Source organism: Homo sapiens, chromosome 22, assembly GCF_000001405.40.
Source record: "Homo sapiens chromosome 22, GRCh38.p14 Primary Assembly".
In the NCBI taxonomy this organism is placed as follows: domain Eukaryota; kingdom Metazoa; phylum Chordata; class Mammalia; order Primates; family Hominidae; genus Homo; species Homo sapiens.
The window spans coordinates 22,112,377-22,132,403 of record NC_000022.11 but is presented as its reverse complement, the minus strand read 5'-3'; the positions used below and the strand labels follow the sequence as shown (position 1 = coordinate 22,132,403).

General features: G+C 46.6%; 1 pseudogene and 1 further gene, besides 1 other annotated feature; one reads left to right on the top strand and one right to left on the bottom strand.

Annotated features, from left to right (window-relative positions):
* Positions 1 to 20,027, bottom strand: part of IGL (immunoglobulin lambda locus) — an 896,838-nt gene that overhangs the window by 790,510 nt on the left and 86,301 nt on the right.
* Positions 3,930 to 4,445: a silencer, noted in NCBI's record as "fragment chr22:22482353-22482868 (GRCh37/hg19 assembly coordinates)". NCBI's record gives its function as "represses an EF-1alpha promoter that drives an FKBP-Casp9 reporter gene in an ReSE screen in HepG2 liver carcinoma cells {active_cell/tissue: HepG2}" and the evidence as "EXISTENCE:reporter gene assay evidence [ECO:0000049][PMID:32094911]".
* ABHD17AP5 (ABHD17A pseudogene 5) lies at positions 14,399 to 14,923 on the top strand (annotated as a pseudogene).

Sequence of the window (20,027 nt, the reverse complement as noted above, 5' to 3'; positions counted from 1 at the left end):
GTCTCCGAAATGTCATTACGCTAGCACAAAAAAACTGAGATGAACTCATAATTTATAGTATTGCCTCAACCCGAATATCTATACAATTTTGAAAACATTCACCCTAGCGACTATTAAAACTAACTTGAATAAGAAACAGTAAACTACTAGTATGTGATATTATCTTTCAAACACTTCTAAAAGTATAAGCAATGTATGAGGAAATGGGGTACAGTTTGGTGTCTCTCCCCAACTCCACATACATACCAGGATCTGGGGGAAAAAAAGCTGTCCTTAGAGAATGATATTATTTAAATCAACATGTAATTGGCAGAGCTAGTGTATGTCCCATGACCTGTGGACCCATCTACTTTACTGTAGATTAGTTAATGCTAATGTTGCCACAAGTGAAGAAGAATGCATCATGGGATGCTCATCAAGAAATATGCAACCCCTGCTGACACAGCTCCCTACATGTCACCTTCTCTATTGCACATGCAACATTGATGTAGGAATTAAAAAGAAATTATTTAGGCAGATACTGAAAGTAAGGAAGTCCTAGTGTAAAGTTTTCCTACTAATGAAAAAAAAAACCCATATCATTTATTTTCTAACAAAGAGCATCTTGTAAAATTGGGCTGCAGACATTGATAAGCTCTCATAGGAATGCCAGCAGCTGTGCCAATAGGAAAAGGCTACCTGTGGGCCAGGCATGTTCAACATGGTGGCTCCATCTTCCCTTTTCTCTGTCAACCACAGGTACAGTAAGGAACAGACAATATGGTCCTGGTAAGGTAAAGAACCCATCTGCATAATAAAAGATTAGGGTGCAATGGCCAGCTTCTCCCTGTGCTATGCAAACGTTCACACCTGGTCCAACCAGTCTCTAGAGCCCTGTGTAAATCAAGACACCACCTCCTCAAGCTCCTTTATAAAACCTTGTGCTTTTCACCACAAAACCGGAAGACCCACTCAGGTGCCCCTCTCTCTTTCTGCAGGAGAGAGAGCTGTTCTCTTTTCTCTTTCTTTCACCTATTAATCATCCACTCTTGAACTCACTTCTTGTGTGTCCACATCCCTGATTTCCCTGGTGTGAGATGACAAACCTCAGGTATTACCCCAGACAAACAATGCTGCCTCAACATTCTTTCAAATCTCAATTCAATTGTGTTGTTTCAGAAAAAGCCATTGTTCAGGGGTCCACAAACTATACCCTGCAGTCAAAATGTGGCCCACCACTTGTTTCTGTAAATAAAGTTTATTGGAACACAGCGCCATTCACTCATTTAAACATTACTGATGCTGCCTTGGTATGACTTCAGAGTTTAGTTGTCAGAGACCACATGCTGAGCAAACCTGAAAATAGTTACTATTTCATCCTTTACAGGAAATGTTTGCTGATCTCTGAATTCCAATGTAATTTTCCTGTATATAAGATAAAAGATTTTGGTTCTAAAACAAAATATTAAGTCCATCTTTAAGCTATCATATATTGAAAAGGACTATACATTTTACAGCAAACATACAGGGAATAAGGCAAGCTAATGTGAGTCTATAACAAGATTGCATTGCATATAATTAAAGAAGAACAACATTTGTTACAATCTAATATATGAACTATAATTTTTAAAATTTACATAGGATGCTGGTAGAGCAGGATTATTTACAGGACACATGAGTAGATTGAGCCTTTATAAAGAAGAAAGTGCTCAAAGGCTTTAGAGGTACCTAGCACCAGCAACACATTATGTTTTATTTCACTCTTAATAAGCTTGTCTCCAATCTGACAATTAAGAGGAAGTTATTTTGCAATTAATTTAACCATAGTTGGAAAATACTACTTTTCTTTTAATTTCTAGACATTTTCTACTAATTACAGCATCAGGCTTGATAACAGCAATATTGTAGGATTACTCTAGAAAAAAATTTTTAAAAAGAATTTCATTTTCTTGGCACAAAGTCTGGATAAAGAAGAATATGGCAAGTAGCACTGTAAATTCCTTACCAACAGTGAATTGTTGCCCATTGACAGCTGTGTCTCTTATTATGGCATTTCAACTACCAAAGAGTTTCTACCTAGAATCAAACTGCAGTTCCCATATTTGCATGCCAGGGAAACATTCCCAAGAGTTTTTAATCAAAAGGCAACAAAACTTGAGTAGACAGGCATTGGTGGTTTGAATGCAATTCCCACACATAAGTATAGCACCTATGATCCCTTCAGCACGCTTATCACCAGTGAGTGCAGTCTTAACCAAGAATCATACAAGTAAAAATTACTGACAGATTTACCATCTATGAACGTATCAACATTCTTATAATGAGTATTTAGTGCAAGATTACTCCTTTGGCTGTGGCTATTTTCCTCTGCTCCCTCCAGAGTATGAACACATACACCCCACACCTTCACACAGATAATCCAGTGAAGGCATGAAATTGTTAACTGCAAAGTAAACCAAGAGTATGGGTGGTCACAAAGGAAGAAATTATCTTCAGAAATTTTTGGAAGATGCTGAAGAATGAAATAGGAAGCCGCTGTCCAGATTAGTCACAGGAAACAGGAGTCCACTGTCCTGAGTAACCTCTGAAAGGCTCCAGGCCCAGAACCAAAGGTAAAGCAAGTGAGGAAAAGAGGGTGCTTTTGAATAGTTGAGCCTCGCAAGGCACAAATCATCATTTATCCGAACAATTTCTCATTGATAAACATTGTTGTTACCCAGTGTTTTGCTGCAACAAGTGATGCTGTGATAACCACCCATGTACAGAAAACCCTTTGCCTTAAATTTACTTAAAACACTCATAAGATGCTTCCCCACCATCTTCTGAATCTAAATCTACTAATGCAATTTCAGGATACTATGAAAAAGCAGGCAATACAAGGAGAATGGAGTTATGTGTTAATATTACAGTGAAAGAGTTTTTAGAAACGTAGGTAGTGAATATTTATAACCTAAGAAACAGAAGATAAAGTGGAAGGGTACCTGCATTTATTACATCTAACATTACTGTCCCTTTAGTCAACTTGCTCACACACACAATTCTTTACAAAGTTAATTTTCATAAACCTTCTATAACTTGCTTAAACTTTATTTTCTTACAACTAAAAATAATTCTTAAACTTTCTAAATTTGCCAAAACTCACTTTTTGGAAAAAACCATATTCCCACCCCTTTTAAAACCAAAAACACATAATTTTTCTTTTCAATGTAAGCAGTTTCAATTACATACCAGGTGCAGAGTCCAGGATACATGACAGAACTGCAGATAAAGTCTAACTCTTCCAGCATAGCTAGGAGACATGGCTAACTCCACCTCTCCCCAGGCCTTACCTAGAAATCTAACAGTTCCAAATTAGGTAAACTGAACAATTTTCCAAAGTCAAAGAAGCAGTTTATGACATTAAAGCACTTAGCCAATTTAACCTCTGACTTAATTTAGACCAAATGTCTACTTTTTGAAGACTTTTTACCACCAATAATTTTAAAACTCTCATTTCCCAAAGATTGCTGAAGTCACGTGAAATAAAAGGCATTAGAGCTTCTATTTTTCTGACAATTTTAGAGCTTTCATTATCTTTTAATCCAATTAATTAGAGCTCCTTCATATAAACATCACACATACGACACTTCTAGACAGGAGAGGATCTACCAGGCGTAAGCTTTTCTCTCCCATCTTATGACTTTCTGACTTGTCCTATATTTCCTGCTTTCCTAATTAGTCATTATCTACTTTAGTGCAAGAATTTGCCATACAAGATCCTAAGATTTCTCTCCTTCATAACTTACCTTACCATAAATACATGTTCATATCCACAACTTTCTTTAGCTCTCCCCTACTAATTTTTGATGCCCACCCAAATCAAAAAAAAAGTCAGGTAAAGCAAAGCAAAACAGAGCAGAGCCTTGGATTTTGAGATGGACCTGTCTGCTTACAGTTCTTGGGGTTCCAAGAGGAAAACAAAGGTTTCTCCTAAAATGAGGTCTGTGGCACCTTCTGTTTTGCACAAGGAGTCCCAGGCTGTCAGAAATTACCTTAGGTCCTTTCGTGTGGGTAACAAGAGTGGCAAGACAGACAGACTATGGAAATAATTCAGTCAACTGAGAAGAAAAAGAAAACCTTAGTACTGTCCCCATTGTACAGATGGAGAAGCTGGGACCCAAAGCACCATGCAGTTTAAAAATTCATGTTCACAGCCGGGCATAGTGGCTGCCTGTAATCCCAGCACTTTGGGAGGCTGAAGTGGGTGGATCACGAGGTCAGGAATTCGAGAACAGCCTGGCCAACATGGTGAAACCCCAACTCTACTAAAAACACAAAAATTAGCCAGACATGGTGGTGTGCACCTGTAATCCCAGCTACTGGGGACGCTGAGGTAGGAGAATTGCTTGAATCTGGGAGACAGAGGTTGCAGTGAGCCAAGATCACACCACTGCACTCCAGCCTGGGCGACAGAGTGAGACTCCATCTCAAAATAAATAAATACATACATACTTATATAAAATTCATGTTCACATAGAGTGAGGCTCTACAGCTCACTCTCTTAACCATCCTGTAATTCTGCCAACTCTATGCCCAGTCACTGATGCACTTGGTATGGCAGCTCATGGTCCCCTTAGAGCTTAGAACCTGGGTTTCATTTCCTGCTCTACAGCTATATAATTTAACAATTTTCCTCTGAATTTGTTGGATTCTAACCCTATAAATCTCCAATCTTAATATTACTGAACCTTAAAGGGGGCTGTGACATCTTTAGTCTTTAAAAATATTAAACACCCTATAAACAAAGGACTACATGAGATTAAAGCATATTCAAACTTCTATATGCTTTAAAGCATTGAGGCAATGCATTGACAAATACACCTAACAAACTGCAACCAATTTCTATCTCTTCAAAATAACTATCTCTTCAAAATAAGCTATCTAGCGGTACTTAGGCATATTCTCACGTGTCAACAGGATTTTACATGATCGTAACCTTATAAATCATTAAAAAGTGTCAAAATTATAGGCCCTATGTATATATAGGCCTTATACAATTCTGCGGGCTTGAAAAACATGCATGATACAATATAGACTGTTTCTTGAAAGCAGTCAATAAAATGCATTAACTTCTAAAGTGATCACTTAAGAGTTCGTATCAAAGGCAGTAATACTAGGAATAAAACAGGGCTCAACACTGCAGCTTCTCGAAGGTGAAAGTTAATAAAGCCTTGCTTTTGGTTGTGAATTTTTTTGCCTTAAAACATTGTACATATGATCCTCCCCTTCCCTTCCCTGTTGCAAAGATGTGGTGAACAAGGTTTGCTCATGCAAATGACAATGCTCTTGAAAACTGTGGCAGAAAAATAAAATGAAGGGAATGTGGTTCACTTAACGATCTCATAAATTTTTGGAACTTATTAACCCCCTGACTTGCATTTATCTCCAGACTATATGGGAGAGAGATGAAATGACTGTTTGCTATCAGTATTTTATTTGATGCTTCATTTTTTGATTCCTTGCATAACTACTTACAACGCATTAACAGGATCACGAAAGCAAAGCTATTCAAGTAACTAAATCATTATGCAACTACTTTCTCATCTCTAAAACACAGTAATGGACCAATTACTTTAAAAATACAACACACTAGCAAGTAGTTTACTTTTAACTCAGTTTCAGTTTGTTAAGGCCATTGCTTGGGATAAAGAAAACAAAAAGCAGGAGGACCAGAAAGAGAAACAAGAATAGAAACCAGAAATATAGGCAGCAGCATAAGAAAATAAAGAACAAGATGATGGTGATAAGAAAAAACAGACTGGAAGAAAGGAAAAAAATCAGGTGATAGAGTTAGAAGGCCTATTATGATACCTTTTATCCACTCCCTGATTCATGAAATTCGAAAAGTCCAAGATTAACACAACAAAAAACAAGCAAAAAGATACACAAATAGTCATTCCCTAAATTTTGTTAAGAATGAGACAATGCTGCCACTCATGCCTGGCTCAGGAGCCAGCAGGAGGTGGGCGCCCTCCAGAGACTGCAGAAAGGTGGGGGAGGACTCCTTGCCCTGGCTGCACTTCCACTGCTGCCACCGAGGCCCACGCTGCAGCACCCACTGCTTCTTACCCACCCCAGGCCAGCTGGGCCTTGCAGGGCTCCTACTACCCCCTTCCCGGCTCACAGACTTGCTGCTGCTGCCACCACTAATGCCCATGCCAATACAACCACTGCTGCTGTTGCTCTCAATGCACCAGCCCCACCCTACAAGGCTCCTACCACGTGGCCACCACCAGGTACCCTCCTACCTCCAGCCTCCATCGCTGGGGTCGAGCTGCAGTCTCCATCACTGCCACCAACCGCAGCAAGGCGAGCTGTAGTACTGTGCCATCTGCAGGCTGCGGGCTCCAGCCTCCAGCATGCGGCATGGTGGCCCCTCCTACTCCTCTAGGTGGGCACAGACTGCTGGGCAGGCAAAGCCAGAAAAACCTAGAACAGATGCAGGGAGTGGTAGCATTAAAGCCTCACCTTGGTCATGCTGGCCACTGGGTGGCAGGTGCCAGTTTCAGCGAAGGCACTGACACCCACCCTCCCCTTTCGGCCCAAGCTGGCCATGAATCGGAGCCTGTGGTGGGGACTGGAGACACCACAGTGCCCGGCTCCCCACTCCGCAGGAACCACTGGGCCCACCAGAGCTGCGGTCCTAGGGGAACGGAAGCAGCAAAAAGTCAGACCCAGCCAGCTCTCCCCACCCAAGTGCGGGCTCTCATTCCTGAGCCTCCACCCAGAGAGCACCGTCCCCCACGTGGTGCACGTTACTCGGTGCCTGGGGGTCCCAGGCAGTATCCACAACACAGAGCGAGAGGGTGTAACCCAGGGAACCACAGCAGATGTGGGGGGCCCTGCCGTGCTCAGTATTCCTGCGGAAACACTGTATGTCCTCTGTACTTAAGCAGGAGAAAATCGCTTTGTAAAGCCTGGAGTCCAGGGAGGGAAGGACTGTCCTTTCCGTGGAGACCACTGCTGTCACTGCCACCTCTGCTGCCTGCTGCCGGCAGTGCAGCCCTGAGAGTGCCCCTAATCCGCCCCCCGCTGCCAGCAATGTAGTCCTCAAATAGCGCTCTCAACACCCCACCCCCTGCCCTCCACCACAGTGTAGCATCCGATAGCACCCCTAACCTGTCCCCCGCCGCTGACAGTGTGACCCCGATAGCACCCCCAACCACTCCACCGCCAGCAGTGTAGCACCCGATAATGCCCACAACCCGTCCCCACCACAGGCATTGCAGCACCCGATAGTGCCCCCAACCTGATTCCTGCCACGGGTAGTGCAGCAGCTGATAATGCCCCTAACCCGCCTCTGACACTGCAACCCCCCAACAGAGCCCCCAAACCCCGCCAGCTGTGGGCAGTTTAGCCCCCAATAGCGCACCTAATCCGCCCCCCTACCTCGGGCAGTGCAGCCCCCAATAGCACACCTAACCTGCTACTAGCTTGACAGCGCAAGCTCCTGACAGTGCCCCCAACCACCCCCCCCCCCACACTGCTGGCAATGCAGCCCCCAATACCACACCGAACCCGCCCCCTACCACCCCAATGCAACCTATGACAGCGTCCCCAGCCAGCCCCCCGCCATGGGCAGTGAAGCCCAGGATAGCACGCCCCCCCCACCCGCCCCGCCCTGGGCAGTGTAGCCCCTGATAGTGCACCCAACCCACCCCTTGCCATGGGCAGTGCAGCACCCGACAGTGCTCCCAACCTGCCCCTTGTAGCCCCAAATAGCACACCAAACATACCCCTTGGCACAAGCGGTGCAACACCCAACAGTGCCCCTAACCTGTCTGCTAGCACTGTAGCCTCCGATAGCACACCCAACCCCACACCCAACCCTCCCTGGGGCACAGACAACACAGTAGCTTATAGCGTCCCTAACACGCCACCCACTACCGGCTGTGCAGCCCCAGATAGTGCCCCTAACCCCTGCCAGCCACAGGCAGTGTAGCCCCTGTAACATCCCCCAACTCGGAGCAGCGTGTCCCCTGCCCCGATAGCACACCTAAGCCGCCTTGATGATCAGCACGGCCCCCGATAGCACACCTAATCCCATCCTCAATAGTGTACCCCCCACCCCACCCCCTTCCCCTGTTCCACCTCCGCAAGTAACGTAGTCCCCGATACTGCACAGAACCCACCTAGGCAATGCAACCCCAGATAGCGCCCCCAATCTGCCCTCACCGCGGGCAGCGCAGCTCTGATAGCATACCTGCCCCACTGTCTTTCTACCACTCTGGCCATGCTCCCGCTGTGGGCCACTGTGGCTCCGGTAGCAGGCTCCATCACCACAGCCAACATCAGCAGGTAAGCTGCTGTGCCGCGGTTGTCTTCCCGTTCTTCTCCTCTTCCTGCACTAAGCCGAGCACGGACGGTACGGGGAGAATATACGGAAGACCCTGACTCTGCCCACTCAACATGCTTTATACAGGGAGGGTATGCAAATGAATTCCTGAACTGCATGTTCTGATTGGATGAGAGAAAAACCTCTAGGCCTACTCTGATTGGACTTTATTATCATGTTCTGATTGGTCGTTTTAAGACTTGCTCTCATCCAGTCAGAACATGATAACAAAGTCCAAATCTGAGTATGCCTAGAGGTTTTTCTCTCATCCAATCAGAACATGTAGTCCCAGAACTCATTTGCATAACTCCGCATATAAAGTATGCTGAGGTGGGGGAGTCAGACCATCCCGGGTTCTTTCCTGTTTGCCTACACAGCTCTTCTGTGCCCAACTTAAAGGCAGAGGAGAAGGGGAAGGAAGACACCTGCCAAATGCTGGAGGCTGCAGCCTGCGGCACCGCGGCTCGCCTCACTGTGGGTGGTGGCCGAGATGGCGACTGCAGTGCGACCGGAGTGGTAAGAGGGGGAAAATAGTTTTGGGGTAGATGGAGGAGGAAAACAGGGTGGTGAGTACCAACGGGAAAAGAGGATGGCAAGCAGGAGAAGGCATTGCAAAAAGGCAATAGGAAAAAGACGGTGGGAAAAAAAAACGTTTTTGGGTAGATGGAGGGGGAAATGAGGTTGGCAAATAGGAGAGGGAAAAACGGGGGGCTGAGCAGGAGGGAGAAAAGGTTTTGTGAAAACAGGGTGGGGAAAAGATGGTGGGTAAAAAGTTTTTGGGCAGATGGAGGGGGAAAAGAGGGTGGCAAGTGGGAGGAGTAAAGAGAGGTTGGTAAAGGTGGGGAAAATGGGCAAGCGGGAGGGAGGGAAGGATTTGCAAAAAGACAGTGGGGAGAAAAGTTTTTGGGTAGATGGAGGGGGAAAAGATGGTGGCGAGCATGAGGGGAAGGAGGGTTGGGAAGACAAATAGTTTTGGGGTAGATGGAGGGTGAAAAAAGAGTGGCATATGGGAGAGGGGCAGGAGTGGGGAAAAGAGGTTGGTAAGCAGGAGTGGGGAGAAGGCATTGTGAAAAGATGGTGGGGGTGTGAGAAAAAAGTTTTGGGGTAGGTGGAGGGGGATAAAATGGTGGTGAGCAGCAGGAGAGGGGAGAAGGCTTTGGGAAAAGATGGGGGAAAATGTTTTTGGGAAGATGGAGGAGCAAAAGAGGGTGATGAGAGCAGGAAGGTGAAAAAGGGAGAATTTGCAAGAGTGGTCATTCTGATTAGTCATTCACTCTCTCCTTGGTAAGTATAATGATAGCTGTGGGTTTCATAGATAACTACCACTAGTTTCAGGAAGTTATCTTCTTGTCCATAACTCTGGAGTGTTTTATGATGAAAATGTGTAATATTTTCTCAAATACTTTCTGTTGAGATGCTCATGTATTTTTGTGTTTTATTCTATTAATACGATTTTTGTATGCATTGATTTTCAAATATTAAATCAATGTTGCATTGCTGGGGTAAATCACATCTGCATATAGTGTATAATCTATTTTATATGTTGCTGGATTCAGTTTGTCCAGTATTTTGTTGAAGATTTTTAATTTTATTTAAACAATGGGCCAGGCACAGTGGCTCACCGTGATATAAGGCTCACACTTATATCGCACTTTGGAAGGCAGAGATTGGCAGATCACCTGAGGTCAGGAGTTCAAGACCAGTCTGGCCAACATGAAACCCCATCTCTACTAAAAATACAAAAATTAGCCGGACGTGGTGGCAGACACCTGTAATCCCAGCTACTTGGGAGGCTGAGGCAGGAGAATCACTTGAACCCAGGAAACAGGTTGCAGTGAGCCGAGATTGGGCCACTGCATTCCAGCTTTGGCGACAGAGTGAGACTCCATCTGAAAAAAAAAAAAAGAAAGATACTGTTATATATTGTTTTGTGATATAGCTTTGGTGTCAGAGTAATCCTGGCTTTATAAGATGAATTGGGAAGTGTTCTCTCCCCTTTTATTTTCTGCAAGAGTTGGTGAACAATTGATATTAATTTCTCAGAGTGATAGCTACCTGAGATGGGAATTTTATTATAAGTTCTTAAAATTACAATCCAATCTTTTTACCTTTTGTAGGTCTATTTAGATTTTCTATTGCTCCTTAGTCCTTTAGTCTGTTTTAGTTTGTGTCTTTCTAGGACTTCATTCTATCTAGGCTATCTAATTTTTTTAGCATAAGATTTTCATTGCATTGTCTTTTATTTTTATTTTGTATTACTAGCAGTGATGGATTCTCTTTTATTGCTGATTTTAGAAACTTGAGTCTCTTCTGCTTTTTTCTTGCTTAGCCTAAATAAACATTTGCCAATTGTGTTGTCTTTTCAAGCATTTAATTTTGGTTTATTGATTTTCTCTGTTTTTTCATACTCCCTATCTTTCTGTTGGCTTAACTCTTATTGTTATGAAATGTTTCTCTTTGTCTTTAGGAACATTGTATTTGGTTAATTAAAATGTAAGTTGATTTTGGAGTATCAACTGTTGTCTTATATGAAAGTAAAAGCATCAATTGGGAAATAATGGGTTCCCAAATATTGCCATGGAAACATATTTTTTGGCAGGGGTAGGGGTACAAAAGAAGCATCCATGTGCATGTAGTCCTTGGTCCCCAAGTCACCGAGCTAACTTGGTCAAAATAAGTAGCCTCTCATTTCTTATCTCATGTGGGTAGTCTTGCTTTGCTTGGAGACATTACAATGAATTCGCTTGCTGTAATTACTTGTAAGCATATCAGTTTACTTCATGTCCCATTTTCAACCAGTTACTGTACCTGGAATAATTACTAGAATCAAATTCCATCACACACAGGTAAATAAGTAAATTCTGTCATTTAATATCTAAATTACATATATAATTATATGTACATACATATATTTTACTTGTAATTCAATGAAGATAAGGCTTTGTATGCTCTGTGTAAAATATGCTGTCTATACTAATTCTCATGATAGTAAAGAGTAAATTAAGTAATGGAATGTATTTAAATTTTACATATGTCTTCCATTTGGTGCAGAAATAAAATCTTGGTACTTGATTTAGTAAATTCCTCCTAAATTTAAATTTAGTAAACTTCCAAGATGTTACTTCCCTGAATCAAAATTTATCTTAATGGGATGATAATTCTCTAGTTTACCTCTAATGAGCCTCAGCTAGTATTTAATCTATTATGAAATTAGCATCAAAATAAAATATAATTAATTAAAACAAATTTATTTTATTGATTAATTTAGACCTCAGAAGTTTATGTTATGAAATCAAGGTTTTTTTGGATTTTGTTTATAGAATAATTAGGAAATATTACCAAATGCGAACCATAGTAAAAGTTCTTCAGTAACACTTTACCATTCCATTTTCAAATAACCTGAATTTATGTGTCAGGTTGAAAAGCTTACTGTCTGTACCTTCTCTACCATCTTAGCAGGCTAAATAAAATACATGATCAAAGGCAAAAATGTATGCAAGGAAAATATAGAATATTTAAGTTACAAAAAGCTACTCTTACTGAATCTCTTGAATTACAGTTTATAGCTAAAGTGTACAAACTATTGTAAAAGTCTTCTCTATTTATGAGATTAATTACACATATAAAGTGTCTCCCTCATTCAATAGATTTTATATTTCATTCAGAAATATATGTTTAATATAAAACGGTCTGAATTCTGCTAAATTGCATTTAAAATTATTCATCATTGGTTATATATTTATAAGCATGTACGTTTAATGACTACGTACTGTAAACTTTCTTTGCCATGTGGCATAGACAGTTAATTTACCTGTTCTTTCTATCTCTATCTACTATGTCCTAGTCTATTTCAGTTTTCTCACAAGTAGCCATTATTTTCATTGAACTACCAAAAACTTATAAGGCAACCATGCTCAAACAAAATGTGTTAGTAGTATAGTATAGTATAGTATAGTATAGTATAGTATAGTATAGTATAGTATAGTATAAAGCTTTTTTCAATTCTAAATTTATGTTCCGAATTGTTAAATAATTTTATTATCCAGTCTTTTTTTTTTTTTTTTGAGACGGAGTCTTGCTCTGTCGCCCAGGCTGGAGAGCAGTGGCGTGATCTCGGCTCACTGCAACCTCCGCCTCCCGAGTTGACGCCATTTTCCTGCCTCAGCCTCCCAAGTAGCTGGGACTACAGGCACCCACCACTACACCCGGCTAATTTTTTTGTATTTTTAGTAGAGACGGGGTTTCACCATGTTAACCAGGATGGTCTCAATCTCCTGACGTCGTGATCCGCCTGCCTCGGCCTCCCAAAGTGCTGGGATTACAGGCGTGAGCCACCGTGCCCAGCCTATTATCCAGTCTTGATGTCTGAAAACATCTCAAAATAGAGAAGTTCACAATATTAGATGCTGTATCTTTCTTCATATAATGACAAAGAACTTTAGTTCTTTTCTCAATTTTAGGAAAAATTTTGCTTTAAGAGCAATAAAAACACAAGTTTACATAAGCTGAGAGCAGGTACATATAGCTACTCTGTAGAAAACTTATTTTGTTATTAGAGCTATTAGGATCATCTTTCGAGAATATTTGGGCTATATATGATGCTGCAAATTTATTTTCATGGTTGCTATAACGGGCAAGGCAAGCAGATGATATGCTTGTAGCTATTTCATGATGAGCACATCTCAAGGAATAAAGAAGGGCCTTCACAAGAAGAGGGAGGCAGCTGGCACAGTAATGCATCATGAACACAGATTCAGTGACTCCTGAGAGTCATTATGGCACCTGCATTCTTTGTTTCTATCTCATATGTAATCCAGTTTCAAGGAAGTATCAAAGTGTTGGGGGTGAGGAGACTATATGAACCATTAGCACGAAAGAAGTGCAGGCATCCAGCTGCCTGGTGTCTTCTGAGGTCATTCACCCAGATAAACAATACAAGTTGTTAACACAGAGACTTAGTTAAATTCAGAGCTGCAGGTAATGGGAAAATAAGATTGTGGAAATTGGCTCCATCTGAATTATTACTCAGATCTCCTCCATTTCTTCCAGATGCTGTCCTCACAGTATATTCAAGGCATCTGATGGCATTGATGAGCAACTGAGGAATCATTTAATTAATCACCAAGTTCTTCATCCTTACTTAAAAATGTAGAGTCACAAAATCATGCATCAAAACACACTCTTTTTTTAATAAAATATGGTCTTTTATCCACTGATCCCTTATTTTTTCAGAGTAGCAAGGTGTCCTTACAGCATACATTTAGCATAAAATTAGACGGGTTCCATTATGAAATAAAATGGAGACAGAATAAGTCAATACTGAATTATTTGGTAAATCTAGCAAAGTCTTTAAAAATGATTCTAGAGAATGGATTTCTTTTAGTGTTTCTGTTTGCTTTTGCCTCATTGTTCTGCTTTGCTAACTCGTTAAAATCACAAGCTATCTTACTGTATATTGAGTGTATTTGCAAGAGCTGTTTAGTGTTTTCTTCCCTAATGAACCAACATAACCATTATTCTGCTGTGAGTCTATGTTATGAAATATGTCTATGTCCTGCTATTCTCAGGCTTCATTTTTGCCTCCAGATCTTCCAGGTACTATTGTTTTGGACAATATAATGGATATTACTTCTTTTGTTCTTTCTGTGGCTTGAAAATTTCAGTAAACTCACTTCCGTCCGTGGGGGAGCTGCGGCGGTGGCGGTGCAGGAGGCCGGGCCGGGGCGCAGAGGGACCGACGGATGCACGGGCGGGCGGCCGGGAGCCATGGAGCGCGGCCCTGGGGCCCGGGGGCGCGGGCCGGGATGGGCTTCCCAGGGCACGACATGGAGACCTGTGGTTGCGAGGCTCCCTGGGGCTCGGCTTGGACCGCGATGGGGGTGGGCCCTGGCCTCCTAACGGGGCTGCCGTCTGGGGCGGTAGCTGGGGGGGCGCTCTCCCCCCTGCCCGCGACTCGGAGCACCCCCACGCTTCCCCTGCCGGGCCAGGCCAGGCGGCGTTGTTGGCGGGGGCCCCGGTGGAGGCCCGGCCCGGGCGGCGCCCGCCATGAATGGGCTGTCGCTGAGTGAGCTCTGCTGCCTTTGCTGCCCGCCCTGCCCCGGCCGCATCGCTGCCAAGCTCGCCTTCCTGCCGCCGGAGGCCACCTACTCCCTGGTGCCTGAGCCCGAGCCGGGGCCTGGTGGGGCCGGGGCCGCCCCCTCGGGGACCCTGCGGGCCTCCTCGGGCGCACCCGGGCGCTGGAAGCTGCACCTGGCGGAGCGCGCCGACTTCCAGTACAGCCAGCGCGAGCTGGACACCATCGAGGTCTTCCCCACCAAGAGCGCCCGCGGCAACCGCGTCTCCTGTATGTATGTTCGCTGCGTGCCTGGTGCCAGGTACACGGTCCTCTTCTCGCACGGCAACGCCGTGGACCTGGGCCAGATGAGCAGCTTCTACATTGGCCTGGGCTCCCGCCTCCACTGCAACATCTTCTACGACTACTCCGGCTACGGTGCCAGCGCGGGCAGGCCTTCCGAGAGGAACCTCTATGCCGACATCGACGCCGCCTGGCAGGCCCTGCGCACCAGGTGAGGGCGACCCTGGGGGCAGCTCAGCCTGGGCACACCCAAGAGGGGACCAAGCCGGGGGCCGGGGGGCGGGCTTCCCTGGGAGGAAGTTGGGCGGCCCTGCAGGAGGGGAGCCACAGTGGATGCACAGGGCCAGAGAGCCGGACAGGCGAGCTGGGGTGTGCAGGTGCCACCTCCACATGGCTGAGGTGTGGCCAGGCGGTCCTCCCACACCCTGGCCTGTGGAGCCAGGCTCCCTGGAACCCCTGGCCTGAGGACGGGAAGGGGCTGAGCTTGTCACAGGGGCGTGGATGCCACCCGGTGGGAGGGAGTGGGTGGTGGTCTGGGGGTCTGTGCACGTGTGGCTGGGAGCCCATCTGCCGAGGCAGCACTTGGGGCCAAGTGAGGCGAGGCTGCTGCATCCAGGTCCCGAGGCCTGGCCCACGAGGCCCTGTGGCTGCGGAGCTTGGCCATCCTGGGGCAGGGCCTGCAGGGTAGGGTGCAGACCCCCAGCACACACCCGAGGTCTGGGCCAGCCTCGATTCCAGATCCAGCCCTCCTAGTCATCCAGGTCCCCAGCCCTGCGCTTGCCTGGGCCCTTCACCGGTGTTTGAGCACCGCCCGGGCCAGTGCTGCTTTGGACGAGGAGACCCGGGTGGGCCTCTGGTGGCCTTTCCTGCTCGCCATCCACTGGGGCTGTCTCGTCCTGGCCCTGCCCAGCCCACTGGTCTGACCTGCTCCTGCAGGGGACCAGGCACAACTCTGAGAAGTCAGAGGCCCTGGGGAGGTGGGGTCCTCGTTGCCTTGGTGATATTGCAGGCTGTCCCTGCTGTGGGCCTGGGAGCTGGTCCCCTGGCACCACCCTGGCTCTGGGGGCCTCCCAGCAGTGTGGGGCGCTGACACCAAGTACCACTTCATGCGACTTCCTCGGCCCCTCCTGTCTCTACTGCCTGGGCCACTGGCAGAGTCACACCCGCCATGGCCAGCTCTGAGCTCGTCTGCTCGGCCATCTGTCCTGCTGCCACTTTGTCCTGCAGGAACCTAGGCCCAGAGCTGTGAGGGGGAGGCCAGAGCGTGCCCAGGGCCTCCACTGGGGATGTGTCCCGTTCGTTTGAGTGGTGACATCCAGGTGGCAGCTGGGGGCTCCTGCCTGTAGCAGGTGACAGGGCTGGGCTGGCTCAGCACACTACTGACCATGGCTGCCAGGGAGCAGGCCAGGGAGGCCGAGGCAGAGCTGGGGCCACAGGCACCAGCCAGGCAGCATCCTTTGGGGCATGGGTGAGTGGCGAGCTGTGGAGTGCTGCCAGGAGGCTGGGATTCCAGGCCAGGGACGGGGACAGCCCGCTGGTGGAGTCCGAATGCCAGGCAGAGGGGACGCACACCTGCCCATGCTCCTGCCTTGCAAGAGGGCATCTACCTGGGATCAGAGCCTAGAGCGTGTGGGAGGAGAGTTGTGGGGTCCCGGCATGGGCAGGGTAGCAGGTGGGTCCCGCGTGGTTGGGACTGGGCACGAGGAGGCCTTGTAACTGGTGCTGGATCAGCTGGGTCAAGGGCCGCACACCAGTGACCTGGGGGTGAGGGTGCCCCTGGGTGGGAGCTGGTGGTGCTGAGGTGGCCAAGGACTTGTCCACTCCCAAGGGAAGGTGCTGGTGGGAGGGGGTGCCACCTCCGCAGCCACCACCTTCGATGCTGACCTGGGTTGCACTGGCATCTCATTGGGCGTGGGGACTCCGAGAGTCCAAAATTGGGTGGAGACATTTGGGGACACAGCTGCCTGAATTCCTCATGGCCAAGGGGGTGGGCAAGGGCTGCAGGAAGGAAGAGTGTCCGCTGTCCTGGCCAGTGCACCAGGAACGGCTTTCTAACCCGGGCAGGAAGGCGTGACGCATTCAGGATGTGGGGGGCACACAGTTCCCAGTGTGCACCTAGGGGTGACCAGGAGGAGAAGAGGCGCCAGGGCCTCCCCTACCCCCGCCCCAGGGGCACTCCGTAGGCGGGATCCCTGCAGATCCTTGCTAGGAAACGCCAGTGAACGGCAGCGCCAGGGAACGGGGCGGGGCCGCTGGCTTCGCCCACCGCCGTGGTGTTGGGGGGCTGGGGGTGGCCCTCGGGACTGGTGTGGAGCCTGGGCCTGACCCACTGACTTGGCTGAGTGGGGAGACTAGAGGGTCGCATCCGGAGCTGGGCCCGGGGACGCCCGCTGGTGGGAAGGGTGCGCGCGCGTCGGAGGCAGCGGCTGACCCTGCTCGGGCGCCGCCAGGTACGGCATCAGCCCGGACAGCATCATCCTGTACGGGCAGAGCATCGGCACGGTGCCCACCGTGGACCTGGCCTCGCGCTACGAGTGTGCCGCGGTGGTGCTGCACTGCCGCTCACCTCGGGCATGCCCGTCGCCTTCCCCGACACCAAGACCTACTGCTTCGACGCCTTCCCTAACATCGAGAAGGTGTCCAAGATCACGTCGCCCGTGCTCATCATCCACGGCATGGAGGACGAGGTGATCGACTTCTCACACGGGCTGGCGCTCTACGAGCGCTGCCCCAAGGCGGTGGAGCCGCTGTGGGTGGAGGGCGCCGGGCACAACGACATCGAGCTCTACAGCCAGTACCTGGAGCGCCTGCGTCGCTTCATCTCCCAGGAGCTGCCCAGCCAGCGCGCCTAGCGGCGGCCCCAACCGGCCAGACCTCAGCAATAAGGCGGTCCCCGGACCTCACCCCGCGCCGGCCCCCCAGGGGCTGCATGTGGACCCCCGGGCGGCCTAGGGGACCCTGCCCCGAGCCGGGGGCTGTGGACGATGTACAGGCAACAGAGCTACGCACTCCTTTCCTTTTGGAAGCAAGAAGAAAATAAGTGAAAACGGAAATTAAAGATTTAAAATTTTTAAAAAAAAGAAAAAGAAAATTTCAGTAAGAAAATAAACTGGTTGTCAAAAACACCTGTCTGTTAAAATTGGAATCAAACTGGCTGGGCGTGGTGGCTCACGCCTGTAATCCTGGCACTTTGGGAGGCCGAGGCGGGCAGATCACGAGGTCAAGAGATCAAGACCACGGTGAAACCCCGTCTCTACTAAAAATACAAAAGAAAATTAGCTGGGCACGGTGGCGGGCGCCTATGGTCCCAGCTACTCGGGAGGCTGAGGCAGGAGAATGGCGTGAACCCGGGAGGCGGAGCTTGCAGTGAGCCGAGATAGCGCCACTGTACTCCAGCCTGGGTGATAGAGCAAGACTCTGTCTCAAAAAAGAAAAAAAACAATTGGAATCAAACTTTTTCAAGAAGAGATGTACTTGGTTTCCTTGCGTAAATATTCAAAAGTTAATAGGATCTTTTTCACAGTTTAAAAAAATTAAACATAATTGTATTTAGTTTTATTGAATACTTATGTGGTGTATTACATATATTTTTGTTAATATTAAATTTTAAAAATTTTAAATTGTGCATTTTATATGATATATCATAGATTGTTGTTTTACTTTGAGTTTTCTCATTTAAAGTTATAACCAAAGTGACCCTATTATTCATTTTTTGTGCTATGCATTTAACATTTTCATATACTTCTTTTTTCCATTTTCAGCTAGTATGTATTGCATTGTATTTAAAACCACCACAAGAGGCAGGAAAATGGGGAGCTGTTATTCAATAGCTACAGTTTTGCAAGATGGATAATTTCTGCAGATCTGTTGCACAGCAATGTGAATATAGTTAATACTTATGATCTGTACACCTAAAATGATTAAGATGGTAAATTTTATATGTATATTTTTACTATAATTTAAAAATCACCATCACAGGTTTGAAATATAAATATAACTTATTTTGTATAATGTAGAGTGTGTTCACATCAATAAGAAAAACCTAATATACCGATAAGAAAGAAGGGTGGGGGTGTATCAGATGCAATCCATCCTGTCTCATGTCAGGCAGCCCTGAGAGGGATGTTGGAGTCATTGACCAATTGTCTTGTTTGACTCTCACTATAATTTGAAGCCATTACAAAGGCCCCATCCAGTCCTGGGGGGTGGAAAAGAGGAAGAAGGCAGGAGCTTCTAATGAACGATTGTCTGCACAGGCTCCTTCTTTCACCTGTGCAGAGAAGGGAGAAGCAGAGCAAGATGTCCCTAGAGTTGCTTCCTAAATACTCAGAGTGGGGGCACAACTCCCCTACAGATCTCTGATCTTCTGCCACTATTATGAAATGGAACTTGTTCATTTTAGTATCATCATCCTTATGTGTCCCCAGCCTCACTGAAATCTTGGCATGCGTATCAGATGAACTTGGGATGAAGGAGAGGGTGATAATCATGGGCCTGACAAAGTCGGTGGGGAGAGGCAGGTGCTGAGTGTCCTCTGCACACTGCGAAGTCACAAGCACAGTCATATTCCACTGTGGAAAAGACTGTTTGCCCAACATCCCTGGAACCACAAAGACCTGCATCCTCTGAACCTCAAGAGGAGTGAACAGTTCAGAGACAGGCTGGAATGAGCAGTTGTGAGGAAGGTGACCTCACTCACTCCTGGAGCTGGTCAGTGGAGCTGGGGTTGGGGCATGCTGGACCAACCAGCTGATCAGAAGTTCTCAGACCACACACATCTCTAAGTCAGGTCTAGGCCCTAGTTTGGACATGTGTATGGTTTGAATATCCCCTCCAAAACTCATGGTAGAATTTAATTATCATGGTAAAAGTAATTGGAGGCAGGACCTTTAAGAGGTGATTAGGTCATGAGGGTTCCACCATCATGAATGGATTAGTGCCCTTATCCTGGCAATGGGATAGATATCTCAAGAGTGGGCTCCTGATAAAAGGATAAAGTTCAACCCTATTTACTCATTTTCACACTCTTCTTTGCCCTTTTTCCCTGAGATAATGCAGCAGAAAGACCCTTGCCAAATTTCAGCATCTGCTTGTGGACTTCTAAGGCCACGGAAATCTCAACCAAATAAACTTTTAGTCTCAGTAAGTTACCCAACATATGATATTCTATTATATCAGAAGAAAATGGGGGAAATGGACTAGGACAGCACGTGTAGGTTATTCATCTCCTTCCTCTTCTGTAATCTTCCTGGAGGGAAACTTAGCTCTAAGAACTGACCTACTCCACTGTAGGCATCATAAGGGGAAAAGATATGAAAA